Source organism: Homo sapiens, chromosome X (genome assembly GCF_000001405.40).
Source record: "Homo sapiens chromosome X, GRCh38.p14 Primary Assembly".
NCBI classification, from domain to species: domain Eukaryota; kingdom Metazoa; phylum Chordata; class Mammalia; order Primates; family Hominidae; genus Homo; species Homo sapiens.
The window spans coordinates 130,651,840-130,673,925 of NC_000023.11; the positions used below are offsets into that span (position 1 = coordinate 130,651,840).

The following is a 22,086-nucleotide window of genomic DNA, read 5'->3' on the forward strand; positions in this document are numbered from 1 at the left end:
TCTCCTCTCTAAAGTAAACGCTACTTGAATATGGATCCCTTCCCTTTCTTCTTTCAAAGATTCCACTTCCATAGTATTCTTTTATTTTCTAGCATCTTCAATCTCATACTCTCCATTGCCTCCTTCCTTTTTATTGAACAACAACAACAACAACAAAAACCCTTAACTTTATCGATTCTAGTTGCCATTTATAATATCCATATTTCCTTTTGCTTAGTACCCAACTTCTTGATCTATGGTCTTTGTTTACTTTATTTTACTAATGTCATGTATTCTGGCCCCTACCTCTATCACTCTACTAAAATAGCTCTTGCCCAGCATTGTTTCTCTCAATTCCGATTTTCTTTGTAACATCTGTTAATGTCAATGACTACTTACTTCTATAAAAACTTTTCTTGGTTTCCACAACCCAATTCGTTTCTAGTTTTCTTCCAGCCTCTCAGAACTGCTTTTTTCTAACTCCTCTGCAAACTCCTCTTTCTTTCCTTCTCCCTTATTGTGGATAGTCCCCCAAATTCTGTATCCAACCTTTTGCTCTTCTTTCACTTGTCTTTCATATTCATTTAATAATTTTCTCAGGGCTTCAGCCGATACCTCTACACTACCATCTACTATTCCTTCTAGTTTCTTCAACTCTAATTTGAATACAAACCCCTTCTGCCCATTTCTCAATGATCTACTATCTGCAGTTCATCTCATCATATTCCGCAAATCAGTCCCATCCATCAGTCCATTTCTGTCAGTTCTACTGTTATGGTTTGAATTGTGTCCTCTCAAAAAAGATATGTTGAAGCTCTCAGAATCTGGCTTATTTGGAAACAGGTTCTTTACGAGGTAGTCAAATTACAATGAGGTCATTATGATGGGTCCTAACTTGATATGATTGGTATCCTTATTGACAGAGGAAATTTGGACATAGAAACAGGCATGCACACAGGGAGAACACCATGTAAACATGAAGACAGAGATTGGGATGATGCATCTACCAGACAAGGAACATCAAAGATTGCTGGAAAATGACCAGAAACTAGGAGACAGGAATGCAATAGATTCTCCCTCACAAGGAACTAACCCTACTGAAATCTTGATCTCAGACTTCTAGCTTCCAGAACTGTGAGACAATACATTTCCGTCATTTAAGCCACCCACTTTGTGGTACTTTGTTATGACATCTCTAGTGAACCAATACAATCAACAGGTCTCCAGTCTCTCAGACTAGAAAACACAGACTCATTCCTGGCTTTTTCCTTTTCTTAATCATCTGTATCCAATCTGGCACTAAAGACTTAGGTATATTCCTCGAAAATGACTCCTAGCATCTTTAATCTCATTCAATCCATTGCCTCCTTTTCTTCTACCATTTTTGTCTCAGTTCCTCTTGCCTTCACTCCGGTCCCACCCTTCAGCATTTTACATCTCACTTCCTGTAAAAGTATCTGGTTAGACTCTCTTAATTGAAGATTATCTTTTAAAATGTATAATTCATGTTGCTTTCATCATATTAGCGCCACAGACAAGATGTGCTTATAGTGGCATATTGCTTACTATGCGAAATCTAAGGTTGGCATACATAGCCCTCCATAATTTGGACCCATCTACTCTACTCAGTCTTTTGTCCCCTATATACATCATGCTTATTTCCCACTTTGAGCCCCGACCCTTTTACTCCCTCCCTTCCCCCCACCATCAAGATGCTTTCTTATCTTCCTATCATCTAAATCTGTTCATCTTTCAAGGCCCTGATCAATTTTTCACTGACTGTGACAACTCTGGCCCACACCTGATATCTCTTGCCCTGCTGCATTCTAATCAGTACCTTCCATGTTAGCAGCAAGTGGTATTTCTAAAATTTTGTGTGGATTTACACATATTTATATCTCTATCTCCATCAGCTTATAGGACATAGTGCTTGTTAATTAATTGGCCAAACTCTTGAAGTGGAAATAATGGAAAATAAGAGGTGGGGAAGGAAGAAGGAGATTAGATTAATATTAAGGGAACAGAAAACTTTGGCCAGAACAATGAAGGAGAATTAGTCTAAGTCCATGTTTTCCAAATGTGCTTCCTGGACCACCAGCATCGAAATCATTTAGGATGGCTGATAAAATGCAGATTCCTCAGCCCTATTACAGACCTATTGGATCAGATTCTGCAGCTTAGACATCTGAATTTGTAAAGGTAACCCAAATGATTCTTCAGTATACCAAGTCTGAGAACCACTAGTCTAAGTAAACAGAGCAGAAGATGGGTGCTGAAAGGGAAGAGCTTTTCTTATGTTTACTGGGTACAGTACTTTCCATCATGGCTAACAAGATAATGAAATAATTTTACACTATCATGATTTGCTTTGATGTGATTGTCCCTCTTCAATAGATTGCTTTGTGTACATCAGTCCTTTCTTCCATGGCAAGAGTATTTAAAGTACTGCATCACAAATATGGGCTGGCTAATATAGAGTCTCTCAAATAACAGAAATTTTGTGGCACTCCAAGGAAAGATAACTGAGACTTCTAGGCTGGTTTTACTTTCTTCAGGAAGTAAAATCTAACCAGAAACATACCATAGGTTCCTACAATTCAAGTTTGGTAGCATGGACAGAGGGAAAAAAAAAAAACAACAACAACAACTCTGAGATCTCGTTGCTTAAGCTTTTAATTGGAACCAAATGATAGCTAAAACATGTAGCCACTTTAGATAAAAACTGAAGACCTTTTCACTGGCTCACAATGAGCGGGATTTCTGCAGTTGAGTACTACAGAAGTGAGATAACAGAATTAGATACAATCGAGGGGAAGAAAAATGCACAGAAGTCCTTGAATTAAAATGAATTGAAACCTTCTGGGAGAAAAGCTATTTGGTAAGCTCCATTAAGTCTATTGTAGATAGCTTTATTTGCCAAAGCAGCATCCTGGCATGTGGAACAGGAAAGAAAATAGCTATAAGATGATCTGTCAGGGAGTTTCCAGTCTCTAAACGAATAAGATTCTGTGCAGTAGCCAATACAGCTTTTAACTCAAAAGAGACACAGAAGCAAAATGCAATTATATAACTCTAGTAAGTGCATTCAATCTGAGTCTCCCATATACCCCTCTCCTCCTCCAATAACTCCACAAACTCAGCAATTTATCAAGTGGATGCTTAAACTTATGGCAGCATTTATTTCATGGTAACACTGACTAAATACTGTGTACAATACTGTAGATACTGAGGTGTAAACAATCATACAAGTGAAAGATTAATCAGCTATAAAACATCCTAGCTAAGCACTTAAATAATTTGAATAGTTCAATTCTTATTCAACTCTGTGTTTATTTTGGCTATAAGTTTACAGTATTTATTTGCAGTAATTAGTTGACTATCCTGAAAATGCTAGCTAACCACTGATTACAAAGGGTTTATTCAATATAGATAGCAGTTTGTATGTTTAGGGTTCAAACATATGGCAAAAATAGAAAAAATTCAGATGTAATAGCTAATAAATATCTTTTTCAAAGTCTGACTTGATGTTTTTCTTTCCTTCAGAGTTTCTGTTCATGGAGTGAAAATTCTAAGACCACTCAAGTGGCTATAGAGCTGCTGACTTCACTATACAAGCACTGGAACCAGGAAATTCAGATTTGAATTACAATCTCTCTCTCTCTGTCTCTTTTACACACACACACGCACACACACGTACACACACACAGCAGGAACAGTATACAACTATATCTCCAATCTCTAGTATAGTGCTTAGCATGTAATAGTTATTAAATAAATGAACTCATTTAACCATCACAAAATCCCTGTTAGATGTTTTTTTGTTTGTTTGTTTTGAGGCAGAGTTTTGGTCTTGTTGCCCAGGCTGGAGTGCAATGGTGCGACCTCTGCTCACTGCAATGTCTGCCTCCCAGGTTCAAGGGATTCTTCTGCCTCAGCCTCCCGAGTAGCTGGGATAACAGGCATGCACTACCACACCCAGCTAATTTTTTGTATTTTTAGTAGCGATGGGGTTTCGCCATTTTGGTCAGGCTGGTCTCGAACTCCTGACCTCAGGTGATCCCCACCCACCTCGGCCTCCCAAAGTGCTGAGATTACAGGCGTGAGCCACAGCGCCTGGCTGTTAAATGGTTTTTATAATGTACTCCTTACAAGTGTGGAAGCTGAGGCTCAGTGGGGAAGAAGTCCCTCCTAGGTCAAGAAGGACAGAGTTCGGACTAGAACTCAGGTGTTTCAACTTTAGGTCCAGTGGCTTTTCCACTGTACCTTCCTGTAATCTGACTCCTAAGATTGTCTGGAATGGTTTGCCTAAAAAGAGTAGTCTTCTGGATATTTTATTATCTGCAATGGTAATTCTCCCATCCAAGATAGTTTATTATGAAATTGAAGAGGAGGGTATTATCTGTTGTTCAAAAAGTTTGCCCTATGGGTCCCACTAAGGACCTGTAACACGGCCTCTGTCTCAGAGTGAGGTTCTGACTATACTAGGTTACAGCTGCTTAAATGCCCAGCGCTTTTTGGAAAAGAAAGTCCACTTTTAATTAGGCACTTCAATGCAAGGTATGGATAAGTGAAAACCACAGAAAATCCTGTAGCCACAGAGCTGATAATCAGCCAGTATGTACACATATGGCCTTGCCACTTATTTCTAGCTGGTATCCAGGCTGATAGGTTGATGGCCATACCTTACTGGGTATTAAAAGTTTGAAAATATCATGTCTGCAAGTACATGTTTATTAAATAAAGAAAACAGAATTATCTTTACCTGATTCCTCAGTTTCTTTTGTTTCTGTCATTTCTTCTATTTCATCATCAGACATTTCCATTTCTTCTTCTCGCCTGATTCCCATTAATTCATCATTATGAATGTTGCGAATTTCCTAAGGTTAAAAAGTATGCTTTTTAGGTGGGAATTCCTTGAAAATGTTGAGGAAATGAATGGAGTTAAGGATAAGATAAAGCAGCATTTTTTTTTGACATATTAGGAAAAAAATCCTCCAAATACTCTTAAGGCAAAGAGGCATGTTGAAAGTAAAACAGTCTCAGACAAAGCAGACTTGGTTATACTCTGTCTTGCATTAGGCTTTCTTTCCAGACCCAGAGCTCCAGGAGTCTATGATTCTTATATTCCTATCATATTAGACAGTATTTTTGGCCATGAAAGACATTTTACCTCTTACATGGATTTGTGGACTTTCCCTTAAGGGTTCTGCCATTTTCACCTCCCCACGTTGGACCCTTTAATTTTGCTGCTTGCCATTCTCTTCTCTGTCTTTTTATAGTTTTACTCAACATAACTCTTAATTGAGTTTTTGTAGTTTTAGAAGTTACAGCAAAGATGAGCTTTCAGGAGTAATATTCTACCAGACCAACCTTCCCATGGATAATAACTATAATCTTTGGACAAAACACAAAACAAAACCCATTAACTACTTGATGACATTGGAGAGTGAACAAAAGCAGACATATTCTGAAGAGAAGCTGACACTTGGAAGAAAGGAATAGCATAGGGTGAGTCTCTCAGTTTTTAAAGGGCAATTTAGTCTGAGGTAGACCAGAGTTAGCACCTCATAAGATGGCTAAATTTCTAATAGAAAGCCCATAGTCTTTATGGCCTAAAGAACTCAAGGAGAGTTCACGGCAGTTACAGCCACTGGAAAGTAAGAAGGGAATCCCAGAAAGGAGACAATAGAGGCAGGGGGAAAGAACTTTAAATTCTGTATATAAGATCTGCTCAAATGTCTGCATGAGACCCAAGCCAAGAAAGCACAAGGAAGATTCCCAACAGCACAGCTAAGGCTAAAATAACTGAAATGACAACTGAGCTGGCCATCCAAGAGATAGAATTCCCAGCTTGAATCCAACTAAGTAAATTGACCGTTACGACAAACGAAAACAAAGTCAACATTCTTTGAAAGAACATAGCATAATCCAGAGTCTTCACAACATAATATCTGTAATATCTAGGATAAAGCCCAAAATTACTTGACATAGAAAAACTAGGAAGATATGGCCCATTTCCGAAAGAAAGGACAATTAACAGAGACCAACACTGAAATCACCTAGATGTGGTAATTTAACAGACAAGAAACTAAAGCAGCTATTAATATAACTGTGCTCATGATGTAAAGAAAATATGTTTATAATGAATGAAAAGATAGAAAATCTCAGCAGAGGAATAGAAACATTTAAAAGGAGCCAAGAGTTCTTTTGTCTGAAAATAAAAAGAACCAAGGATTCTTTTGCCTGGAAATAAAAAGAACCAAGCATTCTTTAAAAAAAATCTCTATTCCTCTGCTGAGATTTCCTATCTTTTCATTCATTATGAGCATATTTCTTTTACATCACTGAGAATCGTTATAATAGCTGCTTTATAATCTCGTCTGATAACTACCATATCTGGGTGATTCTACAGCTAGAAAATGATACCTGAAATAAAAATAACCAGACGAGCCTAAAAGTAGAATAGAGATGACAGAATAATGAGAGAACTTAAAGAGAGAGAAAAACAAATGTATCCAATCTGAAGAACACAGAGAAAGATAAATATTTTTAAAAAACAGAGCCTTGGGACCTTGTGAGATTACAAAGATCTAAGATACATGTAAATAAAATTGCAGAAAAAGAGGAGAAAGAAAATAATTTTAAAAGATTTGAAGAAATAAGGGTTGGCAATTTCTGAAATTTGATGAAAGACATTAATCTACATATTCAAAGAGCTCAGTGAACCCCAAGCAGGATATGTGTGAAAAAAGTACATCATATTAAAACAGCAGAAAGCTAAAGATAAACTCTGGAAAGCAGCCAGAGAAAAGCAATACATTATACAGAGGGGAACAACAATTTGAATACTTTGACTTCCTTCAGAAACAATTTAAGGCCAGAAGTCAGTGAAATAATATATTTAAAGTTCATGAAGAAATACAAATATCCATTTATTCAGAATTCTGTATTCAGAGGCAAATTCTCTCAAGAATAAAGCTGAGGTATATTTTCAGACAAAATTAAATGCAAGAATTCATCACCAATAGACTTGCGCTATAGAAATATGCTATAGAAAATGCTGAAGAAAGTTCTTCAGGCTGAAGGGAAGTGCTAATGGATATAAACACAGACCTTCAGGAAGGCATGAAGAACACTGAAAATGATTAAGATCCCATGATAAAAGTCACTTTAAAAAGGTAAGCACAACAACTGTGCATTTTGAAGCAGCTTGCAATCATTTAGAGGCCAATTAATGCCTGTCAGAGGCTTGTCAGCACTGAACTGAGAATTCCTTGCTTGGATTAGCCTGTACTGGGCTGTACACAGGAAATATCCGAAGTTGTCTGTGAAAATTGCCTCCATTTAGGGGAATTATATGTGTTTCAAATGGATTTTTAAATAATTAATGGTGTAGTCATTATCACAACCAACATCCTCCTTTTTATTCATTTTATCAGGAAAAATAATGATTTCTATCTCAAGTTAAGTTTTCACTAAAAATAAATAAAAGACTCTTTTTTTAAAAAGTGAGCTATTTAGTATCATCACTGATAGTTAAGAATAGAAAAAGAAGATGCTAACATAGACTCTCCCATGTGCTTCAGGGGCATTACTTAAAATAGAAAAAAATAATGACTTGCTTGAGAAAAATGAACTTTAAAGGGCTGTGTCAAGAGAGACTTGCTATGTCTTATTCAAACTTATTACACAGAGAACAATAAAGGAATTTCTCATTTCTGAGAATTCATTCTATCTCAGGAGTCTGATTTTCAGTTATCATCAAAGAGCTGTTACCGGAAAGGTGATTATAATGAAGTTTGACATTGGCAAATTCGAATATTGTACAACTTACCGCATTAGGAAAAGTCATGGCTTTCTAGTTGCCTAACAAAAATGTAGACTATTGGAGAGTATAAGCAGAGACCAACTCTCAATTCACAAACATGTCACATAACCCTGAGAAAGTTATTGTGTTTCTCAGAAGAGTAAAATATGTTCCTTCTAGGGAAATGTCCCAGGGCAGGAATATCTGAGAGCTAAGACATGTCCTCTAGCTTTTCAGCATCCACAAAACATCTTTCTTCTTCCAGCTGGGCAAAAAAGTGTAATCTCTTCTTAGAAACATAAAAAGTTAAAAAAATATGTGATACAGCTTATCTAGTCTTTCACATCTTCAAAAATCCCTGGAAATATAACAGACCTATGAACAAATTTTACCTAAATGTTTCAAAGTACTTCAGGAATAAGAATCACCAGTTGCTTTAACTGATAATAAAGTAAGGGTAAGAAAAACTAAGGGGTATGTTTCCCTAAGTGGTTCAGTCAGGCAGGCAAACTGGCAGAGCTCAGAGCCCCCTACCCACTAGACAATCCTTTCTAGCTACAAAGAAACTCAGGCTCATATTATTATTCTTCTATAAATACCCAATACTATATCACACGAATGAGATAAAAGGTAAAGAGAGCAGCAGAGGTTATGGAGTACTATACTAAAGTAAGCTTATGGGGAACATTTAGTAAGTGACAGTACTCCTAAAAATAAGGAGTGAGGTTTTAATTCTTTGAAAATCTTTCCCTTAAAGCACTTGATGTCTGAGCTACTTGTCTTCTGTATTCTCCGGTTGGATCAGAAAAGCTCTACTTTGGGAAGGAAACCCTAACAAATACCTTCAGAGTGAAGGGCTGAAAGGTGACATGAACCCCAGGAAGGCATTCTACCTAGTTTGGACATAGGTGCAGGCAGGGGAAAAACTCTGAGCCACTGAAGAGCAGACAGCAAAGGAAATAGCTGTCTCCCAGATTTGCCCCATTTTCCATCCTGGCATTTTGAATCCAGTGCTGAAACCAAAAGAATGGTGATGGCATGTGGAAACATTTTTCAGCAATTTGCATTTGTAAATCTCTACCTGAAATTGACTGGGTCACATCACTGGTAGACTACAACAAAAAAGGTAAGATATCCCTCCTAAAGTTTTTATACCATTCTCCTGCCCACAGTAGATCTGTGATATTTTTCATTTCAACAATGAACTGTTAGTGATTTCTGGAAACACATTATAATGACTGAGTCTGATCTAATGATAACTTTTTCTGAAGCTTAGAAATTCACACACTACTCTATAATGGGGAACAATGTACTTTCATATAGAATAAAACTGAAATCGGAGACAGGAAAATACATGAAAAGAACCACTTCTGTGCCAGCTGACATTTTTGATTTATCATAAAGTAAGCAAATCATAAATTGTTACACATTAATTATCTAACTATAGTTTCACAAAAATGTATGTGGATTTAAATTAATCTTATTCATGTTTTATGATAGGAACATGATTACCAGACAAATCAGTTTCTTAATAAATGTGTAACAAAATTCTACTTAGCCAGAGTTTCTTTTTTTTTTTTTTTAACAGGGTCTTGCTCTGTTGCCCAGGCTGGAGTGCAGTGGTGTGATCATGGCTCACTACAGCCTTGACCTACTGGGCTCAAGCTATCTTCCCACCTCAGCCTCCCAAGTAGCTGGGAACACAGGTGTGGGCCACCACACCTGGCTAATTTTTGTATTTTTGGTAGAGATGGGGTTTTACCATGTTGCCCAAGCTGGTCTCGAACTCCTGAACTCAAGCAATCTGCCTGTGTCAGCCTCCCAAAGTACTGAGATTACAGGCATGAGCCACCATGCCCAGCCTAAGACTTTCAACATTAAGAGGAAAATTGGTGGAGAAGAGATCAGACAAGGGAATGGAAAGCAGAGGATAGGGAGATAGCTTCTACACTTATGTAGAAATTTGATTCTGAGATATCATTTAATATAATGAAGCAAAGTACAAACTCAGGTTCTTAATTAATGTCTATTATATGATACATAGTGGAAATACAAATTAGGTTTATCCAAATTGTGTTAGTATGTTTTTTGATGGCTGAAGGCCAACAGCCGGTGTTAGTGCAGATAGGTCCTAAACCAAGGGTATGCAGATTATTTGAATATCTATCTGCAAACAGTTCTTCAGAGTTTGGAATGGTAGGCCTGTAATTCTATAAAGAAAGTTATTTTAGCAATCACAGTATTTCATTTTACAAGAATACTAGTAATCACCAAGTCCCTTTTCCTCTAGCCCCATGGTGTAAAACCGCATCTGAGGGAGGATATAAGAGGATATCTCCTAGGGCTTATTGTTATGGCTCTAGTTTTTACACATTATCAAAGCTTTAGCTTTGAATCTAGGCCAGCTAGAGAGAAACACATAGGTTTTAAGTGATTCTGTAGAAAAAGAGTTCCCACAACACACAGAACTGCCAGTAAAGTCACTATAGACACCAACTTTTAGTAAGGGGAGGGACTTCATTCAGCCTTCTCCTAATACCGTTTTCAGTTGTATTAGCAGGGACCTCACACACATATAAATCAGGAACGTAAAGCAATGAAAAAGACTCATTAGCAAACTAGTTTGCTTGACATATGCTACCAAAGTCAGTGTCTAAGCTCCCCAAAGGCGGAAACTTTTTCTTCATACTCCACATCCTTTCTCTCAGCAGAGTAAGACCGTGTTGGCTGCTGGTAGAAGGATGACAATGAGACAAGGAACAGGCACTTTGTGACATGAGGAGGTCATTGGTTGACTTGTTCTCAGATGCAACTGGTAAAAAGGTTGAACGTCAGAAACTCACTTTGATGAAACCCTTGGCTTATGAGTTCTATGTAGCTTGGATGCCTAGGTCAAAAATAAGGCAGCCTAGTTGATTAAGTTTTTGAGATGTTCTGATTTTCAAGGGGTGCTAAGAGGCAGCCACAATTTAAGAGGATGGTTTATTTATTTCTCACAGGATACCTCCTTTCAGTCCTCACAGTTGCCTGCTATCAAGTAAAAGTTTGCAGAGGTAAAAAAAAACAAGGACAAAAATAAAAACAAAAACAATGACTTAAAGAGGCACCAATATAAAGTGAAAGAGATCTTTTAGGTTTAGGGAATGCAATACCAGAGAAAGGTTATGAGCTATGTCCCACTTTCAGCTGGTGTAGTACTGAACAAGATTTGAGATATTCAAGGTGGACCTTAATTTAATTCAATCAAACAAGCGGGAAGGATTTTTTGGGGTTTCTACAGTCTACAAGGCACAGCATGAAACATGTAGCTCCTGGAAAGTCATGCTGGTCATGTACTTTATCATCACCACTCTGCCAAGGAAGTTTTGTTACAATATTGGGCAATAGGGTGCAAATATCTCAGTTCTCTATAGGTCCTAAGGAGTGTCCAGCTCACTGGTACAGCTATCTCTACTGTGAGTCTAATTAAACTCAAGTATATATCCGCTAGATAAGTAGGCTTGAAATATTAATGGCAAAAACTGCAATTACTTTTGTATCAACCTAATAACTACACAGACCCTTGATGAATATGATTGATGGATAATATTTTATGGCCACATAGTTTGCAAAAGTGTTGTGACGGCCAGGCATGGTGGCTCACGCCTATAATCCTAGCACTTTGGGAGGCCGAGGTGGGCGGATTGCCTGAGCTCGGGAGTTCAAGACCAGCCTGGGCAACATGGTGAAAACCCATCTCTACTAAAATACAAAAAATTAGCCAGGCATGGCGGCGTGTGCCTGTAGTCCCAGCTACTTGGGAGGCTGAGGCAGGAGAATCACTTGAACCCAGGAGGCGGAAGTTGCAATGAGCTGAGATCGCGCCACTGCACTCCAGCCTGGGCGACAGAGCAAGACTCCGTCTCCAAAAAAAAAAAAAAAAAAAAAGTATTGTGACCTAGGCAAATCAGCATTCCAACCAGAGGCTCCCTTCCTCCTGCAAAAAGGCAATGTACTGTCACGGCTTTCCTTAAAGGGTGGGGCCATTCAGTCAACTTCTTCTAACCCAAAGAGGAGTTAGAAGTGTACGTGTATCAAAGGGAAGGTAGAAACTTAATGCCTATTCTGCTTTTCTACAATCATAAGACCTACTGAGCATTTTTCTCTCGACTTTTATTCTTCTGAACTGAAGACTGGATATTTTAAATTTAGCGTGTGAAACTCCCCTCCTCCTCTTGATCACTTTCATTACCCTTCTAACTCCCTGAGGGCAAAGATCATTTCATTCTATGTTGCCTATCATAGTGCTTGAGATGGAGAAAGTGATCAGTAAACATCTGAATCACAAAGTTGAATTTTGTTTGTTGAAGGTGAACAACATGAGGCAGCCCTAGGATTCTAAAACCATTTTGTGCTACAGTAAGATAATAGTTTCCTTTTCTCCCCTAATTCTTTAAAAAACAAGTAAAGATGCTATTGGCTATTTGTGACTCTACCAACCCATTGGATGGCTGTCTTCAGGGATTTCTTTCTAGTGACTCCCAGATCCCTTTGCCGTGCCAGAATTGATGGCTCAGATACTATCAGTTTATAAACAGGATTTGGCTTATTTTCTCCTAAATGCTTTTCATGGTTTTCAAATTGTTCTCACACAAACATATCTCATGTATTCTCGTGAAGGACAGAGAGAAATTACTATCCTTATTTTATAGGTTAAGAAACAAAGATCCACAAAGGTTAAATAACTAGCTCGAGACCACAAAGCATTTTGTACCAGAGCTCACAGTGAGGAGAATAATTTCTAGTCCATTTGCTAGCTTTGTAATTTTGTGTAAATCACTTAACATTTTTACGTTTCAGTTTTCCTGCAGGTAAAATATGAAATCTATACCTACTCACTATCACTTATGAAGCTGTTAATAAAAACTGAAGTAATACTATTTCTATTTTTCAAACTTTTTACACATTTCCTAACTCATCTCATCCTATAAGACTGGTTTCATTATTGTCTCGAATTTACAGGTGAAGAAATAGAGGCTGAGAAAGGCTGAATAACTTGCTCAGTCACACAGCACTAACATGTCAGAGCTGAGATTTGAATTCATGTCTGGCTCTGAGTTCAATACTTTTTTCACTTCACCATGTCTACTGTGAGGCTCACACAGGTGAGATAACCAATGTGAAAGCACTTTATAAATGTAAATATCTTGTAAATGCTATTTAAAAGTTAAGGAATATGACAATTTACATGGATAGATATAATGGGACTGCTACCAGGCTGGCAAAGAGGACCAGAAATGTAGTTGAAAAGTTGCTGCATATATAAATTGAAAATATTGGGACTTGGTAAGGAAGTTGCCCATAGGAATAGGAGGACTTGAGGCATATGTAACAGGATTTTCAATGGCAGATCAGTGAAATCTCCCATCTCAGTTTTTAATCTTTGATGCAGAAGAGCAATCTAATCACATCACATTTATTCTAGTGTTATGCTAAAAATGTCACTTGAGTATAAGCAGAGAGGTGTGTGCCAACCTTAACCTAAGATCAGAGTCCTGTTACCTTTAAAGCTTCCACCTATAAAGATGACTAAATGAATTTGATAAAAGAAGCTCAGAAATTTCAAAGATCCAGTATAACACCAGGCGGCTTCCGTCCTTCACTGTCAAGACACTCTAAAAAATGTAAGACAGCCCTAATATTACTAACACTAGAAGCGCAGGTCAGTAATTATTGTTGTACCCAAGACTAGCTCGCTAAGAGAAGTAAACTTATAATTATCCCAGCTACATTTTCACTACTAAGGTTTCCATCCAGCAGAATGCATTCACCACAGCACAAGCACATTTATTACCCTTTTGACAGCAGGTGGTCTGGACACAGTGACAGGCTATAGAACATATCTTAGTGTTTCATTAGGGCCTTATTGTGACCATGGGAGCTTGGCACTATTTAATTCTGGCTAAACTCCAGATCAATAACTTGTTAACGAAAGAAACTGTCCCCCCAAGGGGCTACCAGAATAAAAAGTTACCAACCTCAGCTTGTTTGCACCACACGCTGATGTTCTTCCGCTGGGCTTTTGTGAAGTGGTCCCATGCCTTCTGCTTGGAGGCGGAATGGTACACAGCCACTATCTGCTCAACTGCAGCATCAAATCAGCAGTTGGATCAGGCCAGGGTATCATCCAGGGATGGAAAAAGAGAGGAGAAAAGAAATGAAATAAAAGAGAAGCATCAGGCTTGTTGTATCTTGTTGTTATGACACTATACTAAGCTGTGGTTGTGCTTGGAAAAGGCTACATGTGTTGGGGTACTTTGATTTTAAAGGAGACGCAAAGGAAAAGACATCAACATACAGAAAGACAAAAGGGAACACCAGAGGTTTGGGGTAAAATGGTAACAACTAGAGTTTTAATACAGGCATTGTGAATTCATGGAGGCAGGAGAGGAAGAGTCATAGCAAATGCACTTTTATTTAGTACTTGTCTTTAGTTTAGTACTAGTGACTCCACACAGCATGGAAGAAAATGGCAAACTGTACCAGAAACTCTCTACCCCTGGCTCCTTTCATAGCCCTCTGACACACACTTGGATGCCTTGCTTCAACAGAATTCATGCTTTTACTATTCTGAGGTATGTTTAACAAGAAGCATCAAATCAAAACCTAAGATGGATTGAATCTTTTTTAAGTCTACCAAGATAGACTCGTTGACTGGAAAAATATAAGTTTTAGGGAAGGATGCTGTGTAAGTGCGGTCCTAGAGAGTATTTTTCAAGGTCTCTTAAAATGTCAAACAGGGAAATGTGTGCAGATGTTCTGGGGCTTTATCCTAATCACAGTTCAAGAGAGGGGAAGCTTAGACATGACTCCTTTGGGAAAAGAAAAGCAGGACAAGAGCCCCTGTCTGGTTGGGTGTTCACAGTAAGAAAATCCAGAGGTATTATTTTTTTTTTCTTTACATCCCTGTTTGCACCCTGTCTTCTAATGACTTAAGGATTTATAGTCCCATGATGCGTGCTGCTTTCTCTTTTTAAAAATTTATCCTAAAGTCCTGAAGACATGTGCTTTTGCCTCCTGGATTTTATGCCCATATATACTTTCAAAATACAAGTGGCAAATGGAACAACTCCCCCTTAATCACAATTATGTATGAGTCAAGTACAGGGAAGTCAAGTTTGGAAAGAGTGGACCATAATTGTTTAAAAGCAAAATCATAAAATTATACCCTTATTCTTAAGGTGAATATACTTTCTTACTGAAAAAATAAGAGTGTATAATTTTATAATGTGGTAAACAAAAAATTACTTGATAATTTATCTGATCTGGCTCATTTCAGAGACCTTAGATAGGTTTGGAGCGGAATTTCTTTTTAAAAATGGCCATTTTGGTAGCTTCTCACCTTGTCCCAGTGTCTATGACATCCAGCAAAGGTAGCAGAAGAAAGTAAACTAAATAAAAAATGTAGAAGTAGCAAATTTGATTTTTATCCAATCACCTTGGGAAATATAATTACATTGATCATTGAAATGGAGTTTCTTGAAGGCATATTACATGATGATAATTATACAAATCTGAAGAAAAGCAGCTTTAAAATGCTGATGCTACATCGTAACTTTAGCAATAAAATACCCAGCCCTCTATTGAGGCCCAGGGCTGTAGAAGTATAGGATGTGGCCTAAGGATCAGTGTTTCTAAGGAGTTGAAGTAGATATACCAGAGAAAATGAAGCTAGCAGGTGCGCACATGTCTCCTGTGAAATTGGAGCTTGGGCATTTGACAATATAAGGAGAGCACAAGGCAGTGAAAAAGGGAGCCTTGAGCCTTAACACAGGATGGCTCTGGAGGCCTGAGCTCCCATAGAGAGCAAGTGACTAAGTGAAGTGACTTATTCTCATTCCAGCAGAACTCTAAGTTCCACTCACATTGAATGAGAATTCCAGAAAGGGCCTGCTTGAACTTCTCCTTTGCTTCTTCCATATCTTTCTCATGGGCAGCTTTCTCGTTCACCAGGCGGCGGACATGGCTGTTGGCCGACTGGATCATGGAGTAGAAGTTATTGGCGCTACGACGGTTGACCTCTCCTCGCTCTATCCAGGTAAGCAAGGTCTGTACAGCTTCTGAGAATTTGGAATCATCTGAAAAAAATATATTTTTATAACCAACAAAGGTAACCAAATTTTGATCTATTTTCCCAACATGCTGGCAAAGAGGGCATCATGATTTTTGGCAGTGATGGGTAAATGAATTGCTGAGGATGAGGAGCCACACATACACACATGTGCACACACAGGCAGTAGGCAGGCAGACAAACAGGAAGAATGGAAGGATCAATGTAGTCAGACTGGTTGTGGTCTGTGATGAATTTTCAGAAAGAGAAATGTTTCCTTGAAAAAAGTTTTCTGTACTGATATATAGGTTTCATGTATTGCAAATTTCTTACCCTCTCTGATTGTGTGTGTGTGTGTGTGTGAGAGAGAGAGAGAGAGAGAGAGAAGGGGGAAAGGGGGCAGAGGGGAGACAGAGAGACAGAAAAAACCATGAATTAGTGAGGGAACTTCAGAATTCTACAGTCCTGTGTTTTAATGAGGAAAAGCAAACTTGAATCCTGAGTTTAACTTGAATTTAACAGTAACTTTACCTTGGATCCATGGAATTACAGTGTTGGGAGGAGCCTCAGGGAAGAGTTAATTAAGTAGGTCATTCTTTAGATACAAACATGCACATCTTCGACCTTTTATAGTATCACTCCTGTGTTCAATCCACAGCCCCAGGCCTTCCACTCAGTCCCACTCACAATCTATTTTGATGCAATTTATTTTATTTCTATATTTCTCCACATCCTTTTTTCTCTTGCATGAAGAACCTCCATGTAGATTTCTGCAGCTAGTTAGGAGTTATTCTGTGATTAGTTAAGATAGTAGCACAGCTCTTCCAAAGCTTCTGGTTCAGCTCCCCAAGATAGCCACTTATGCCTTCTGTTCTTAAAGGCTCCAGAGAGGGAGAGTACATTTGGATCTATTGAAGCCCAATTCAAGGGCTTCACATCCTTCTCTGGCTAGAAACCCTTATGTTAAATGGAAATTTCCTTCACTGCAGTTTGAACTTCTTGCCTCTTGCCCCTTTTTCAGTGCAGACATATAACAAGCAGTCAGCCTCCCCTTTATAGCAGCTTTTCACTTTATTACTTAGATATAGACTTTATGTTGATGCTCAGTTTTTGCTTCTCTTGAAGGTCACACACCCATTAAATTCATTTTTTTAAACTTAAACTGATTTGTTTGGTGTTGTGTGACTAGGCAAGTCTTGGACCTGGCGTCTTACCAATGCTTTCAGCCTTTCCAGTTTTTCAAAATGTACCATTATTTCTGTGCCTCTATTCTGGACTCTAGGTTTTCTGCTTTTCCCTTAAAGAAAGTCAAAACCAATTTCTTACATGTGTGAATCCCTTAGGCTATGTGGTACAAACATGTCTGGTGAAGGAGACCTATTTGGAAAGTAGGGTTAGCAGTATCTTGATGAGTTGAGAACACAAGAAGCAGGGAAAATTCATACCATTAGAGCTGGATTGGTGTTACCAATAAGATCAATGGGACACCAGCATTCATCCAATAAAATCATCTATACTCAGAAAATGAGAAAGACTGGATTTGAGCTACTAAGACAGGAGACCAGGCAGAGCAATTAATGTTAAATTAACAAAATGGCTGAGAGTCAAACAAGGGGAACAAGAATCAAAACTAATGGGAAAGCAGTCTGATTAAGCAATGTCTACACGTTTCCACAGTCACTGTTTTAAATAAACTGGCCTTTTAAAGTGATTTAAAAGTCTTTATGTTTTAGTTGGTGGTGGCTAAGTCTTTGAGTCATCTAAGAAGAATGTACAGCATGACTACTTTCTGGACCTCCATTTTCTCATCTTTAAAACAAGAATTTTACCAGAGTTTTTCAGGATCACATCAAATCCTATCATCCTGATTCACTCATTTGACTTGGAATTATAACCTAACTTGTATCCACTATAAAAGAGGGCGCTTACAGGTCCCAAGTCATAGATCATGCCTAAAAGTCTCTGACGTGGAAAGTGAGGAAAACTTGTTTATTTCTAGTCACCTGATGTCTGAAGAGAAAAATGCCATCCCTTGAGACAATGAAGGAGCAGACACAGGTAGTAGGGATAAATTTCCTGGTTCTTGAGTTACTAGGTACACCTCTCTATCTGCAAGGCTCCAACACAAGAAATGCTTAGAATCCATTAGTAGGAAACTCAAAGTGTAACTGTCAACAATGCAATTATATTTATGACACTTCTCTAAAGAAAAGAGTTCTTTTAATCATGAAGCTTGAGTGCCTTTGATACCTTTTAATTTTTCAGCAACAATGCTGCATTCATGATCTGAATAGTGGACCACTGGGGGTGGAGATGGTGGACGCAATCTTTCTTCTTCCATTCTTCTACGATGGCGCTCCTCTCTGGCTAGCATACGCTGTTTACACTCCCACTCATACAGGTCATCTCGAGCCTGTGCGAAATCAACGTGGAGTCTGCCTGTGTCCTTCTTGTCAGTACTAGAGCCCAGGCGAATGCGGTAACCTAAGTCCACAGGAGGGTGAAAGGGAGAGGAGAGAGGGAGAGAAGGAGAGAAGTAGAGGGAGAGAGAGACAGAGACAGAGAGAGAGAGAGACATGAAAGACTATACATACTTTTCCAAGTTCAGTGTTTCAGATGTCACTGCAGCAGTTCCAAGTGACCACACAACTCCAAATTCTCTCCCCATGCTTAGCAAGTAAATCATCAAAAGATTTAGATTATCTCTGATAATAGCTCACATTCTATGGGTTGGGTTAGTCTTGTTCTTAAGAGTTCCATTCCTCCATCTAATACCTTACCTCTGGCTGAGGTTGGCTCCGTGGGTAATAGTATCAAGCATGATCGTTATATGGCACCAAGGGCTGGGAAGAATGGAAAAGGTGGCCTCAAACGAACTTGTCTTTAAATAAATTCAAGAGTGTCCATTATACTATCACAAAGATTTTGGTAAAACTTAAATGCATTAACTTGGTATTTTAATCCCTAAAATTGCTTCCTAGAAGCATTTGTCAACTGTGAGCCATTTTTTTTCTAAAAAAAAAAAAAGATGGGGAGTGATGTGTGACCCAGGTGACATATAATTTGGGATCCTTAAAAAAAAAGATGTAGTGTGATTATAATATAGTAGTATAGGACTGGGATTCAGAAAACCTGATTCAACTCCATACCTCCTCTTTCTGTGCCAGCTATACTTACCCAAGTCATGTATCTTAAAAAAAGTGGGGAAAAAACTAAGTACTTTTTCAGTTTCAAGAGCTCAGCTAGATACTTCCATAGGAATTTATCTCATTTCATTATCAGCACAAGCTTGCAGGGTAGAAGGGTAGAACATTATACCAAACAGAAAACTGAGCATCAAAAGAGGTTAGGGAGGTTAAGTGGCTTGCCCTGGGTCAGACAATTAGCAAACAGTAGAGCTGGCTCTTGAATCCAGGACATTAGACTCTGTGCTTTCCTTTATTCTAACCTGCCTCTCAAGAATAATACCCAACATAGACTTTTGCTTCTGGCTAAGATAGAGTAACGGGTTAGATTTGTCCTCCTACCTTAAACAACTAAAAATATGGATAAAATATATGAAATAATGCTTTTTAAAGAACTGTACATAAGACAATGAAGACAGGGATCACTGAGAGACAAGAACCAAATGAAGTGATCCCTATGATTGCCCCAGTTTATTTCCTAATAAGAAAGTTTCCTAATAAGAGAGTTTTTGGGCCTCAGCACAGGGAAGGGAACTCAGACAGGGCACGATGGTGTTCCCAAGTTAAGGAGACTGAACTGGGAGTCTAGGAAGACTATGGAAATAGAGTTCATAAGGCAGAGTACCAGAAAGAAGAAAGCTGCACAGAGAAAGAGCTTCAGAGATATGCAGAGGGTCCTCCACTATTATTTAGCTGAGTACTAATGTCTATATGTGTGGGAAACTACCTGAGCATTAGAGGTAACAATCCCTGAAAAGCTCCCACAGGGTTGGGAATAGCTCCTTTTCCTACCAGCCAGAGCAGAAAAACTCACACTTCTGGTACTGGGTGATCAGAAGGGTTCTGCCTTAATAGTGGAGAAAAATTAGCCCTAAACTCCTCTGGTCTTGCTGAACAAAGCTTAAGAAGCAAGACCTAAAAGGACCAAAATTTTCCCAAGTTACTTAACTGCATTTAGAACAAAACTCAAGACTATTTATAGAAATAAAAATATGCCACCAAATAAGGTAAACTTTAATAAAAAAATTACTTGGAATGCAACGATGCAGGAAAATATGACCCATAATAAAGATTTTAAAAATCAGCCAATCCAAACAGACCCAGAAGTGATGCAGATAATTTAATTAGTAGATAAGGATACAAAAACAATGATGAAAATTTGATTTCACATGCTCAAGAAGCTAGAGAAAAGACTGGTCATACTAAGGAGAAACATGAAAGATATAAAAAGAGCCACAATCAAACATCTACAGGCTTAAGCTACAATGTCTAAGTTGAAAAAAACATCAACAGACAGGACTGATGGCAAATTAGATGCTGCATAAGAAAAAAATTAATGAAACTGGGGGCTCCCAGCACCTGAGCCTTCTGCCTGCACCCACCTGAGAATTCTAATGGTGACTGGGGACCAGCCTGCCCTCCCTATCGCAGCCACCACCTGAACCCTGGGGGCCTGAGAATAAGCCTGCTGGCCCGGTCCTGGTGGAGTCCCTCCAGGGCCCCCGCACACCATCCAGTGGGCCACTTAGGGGCCTGGGAATTGAAGGACTGCTTAGCTCAGTCCATCACTGCTGGCGCCTGACCACTTGGCCTGAGGCCTGAGGTTGGGCCCAAGCAGCCGGCACCCCCACAGTTGCCTCCCACTCTCACATGCTGAAAGGCAGAGTCCCTCCCCGTCTTTACACAGAGCTGTGTAAAAGAATAGGTGAGCCACAAAGCTGTCTGTACTGGGCTGAGGGAAGAGCTTCCTCCCCAAAGTCACTCCTTTCAGCTACATGGTAGCCTGGAGATAGATGGACAGTGTGTAAACTGAGTCAGGAGCCCCAGGAGAGGGTTGTGACAGAGAAACATTGTGATCCTGCCTGTCTAAGAAGTGGAGCTGATGTGGCCCCCTCATCCCCTGAAGAGACCTCGGCACATTTCTCCAAGAGTTCCCCTAGCCACTCCTGTCAGGGGTGCTGCCTGTGCTCATCATTGGGTTATTCGTGGGTGAGCTTGTTTGTCCAGCTCCACCCAGCTTTGTCCTCCATCCACTCTCCCTGGGCTGAATAGGGAACCTGGAATTTCACAGACCAGCCCATCATCTGAAAGAACAGAGAGCACCTCACAGTAAGAAAACATCCAGTACATACCGATCTGCTTCTGCCACAGGTGGCTCTTACCTGTAGGCGCCACCTACTCACCAGGAGGTTAAACTGCACAGCACAATAGGACACCTGCTGACAGAAGTGCACAGGGCTAAAGAAGCAAAGCCAAAGGACCCTACCCAACATACGCTACAGTCACATCTTCGGAGTTGGGGGACGTCCCATCCAAATGAAATTAGATTCAAAAATAAGAAGTGACAGCTTCCCCACGTGAAAAGGAACCAGTGTAAGAACTCGGGGTGTTGCAACACCCCGAAAAGATCACACTAGCTGTCTAGCAATGGATCCTAATGAAAATGAAAATTCTGAAACGACAAAGAATTCAAAATATGGATTGTAAGGAAGCTCAATGAGATCCAAGAGAAAGTTGAAAACTAACACAAAGCAACGAGAAAAACAATGCAGGATATGAAAGAAGAGATAGAGATCTTGAAAAAAAAAAACAGAACTTAGGGAAATTAAAAATTCACTGAAGGAGTTAGAAAATACAGTCGGAAGCTTTAATAACAGGCTATACCAAGCAGAAGAAAGAATTTCAGAGCTTGAACACTGGTCTTTTGAACTGACCCTGTCAGACAAAAATAATAAAAAAGGAATTTAAAACAATGAATAAAGCCTTTGAGAAATTTGGGATTCTGTAAAGCAACCACACCTATGAGTAATAGGCATTCCTGAGTGAGAAGAATAAAAGTAAAAACTTTGAAAAACATATTTGAGGGAATAATCCAGGAAAATTTGCCTGGTCTTGCAAGGGATGTAGACACCCAGGTACAAGAAGCTCAGAGAACACCTGGAAGATATTTTGCAAGAAGAATATCATCAGGGCATATAGGCATCAGATTATCCAATGTGAAGGAAAAAATTCTGAAAGCAGCAAAA

General features: G+C 39.0%; 1 protein-coding gene across 20 annotated transcripts in view; it reads right to left on the bottom strand.

Moving 5' to 3' along the window:
• Positions 1-22,086, bottom strand: part of ENOX2 (ecto-NOX disulfide-thiol exchanger 2) — a 280,885-nt gene that overhangs the window by 29,515 nt on the left and 229,284 nt on the right. For all 20 annotated transcript variants that reach the window (NM_001382521.1, NM_001281736.2, NM_001382520.1 and 17 more), the window contains 4 exons: positions 18,126-18,359; positions 15,691-15,903; positions 13,804-13,910; positions 4,742-4,856 (listed from right to left, as the gene is read on the bottom strand). In NM_001382521.1, coding sequence (NP_001369450.1) covers positions 4,742-4,856; positions 13,804-13,910; positions 15,691-15,903; positions 18,126-18,359 — 669 coding nt within the window. The remainder of the gene's footprint in view (positions 1-4,741; positions 4,857-13,803; positions 13,911-15,690; positions 15,904-18,125; positions 18,360-22,086) is intronic.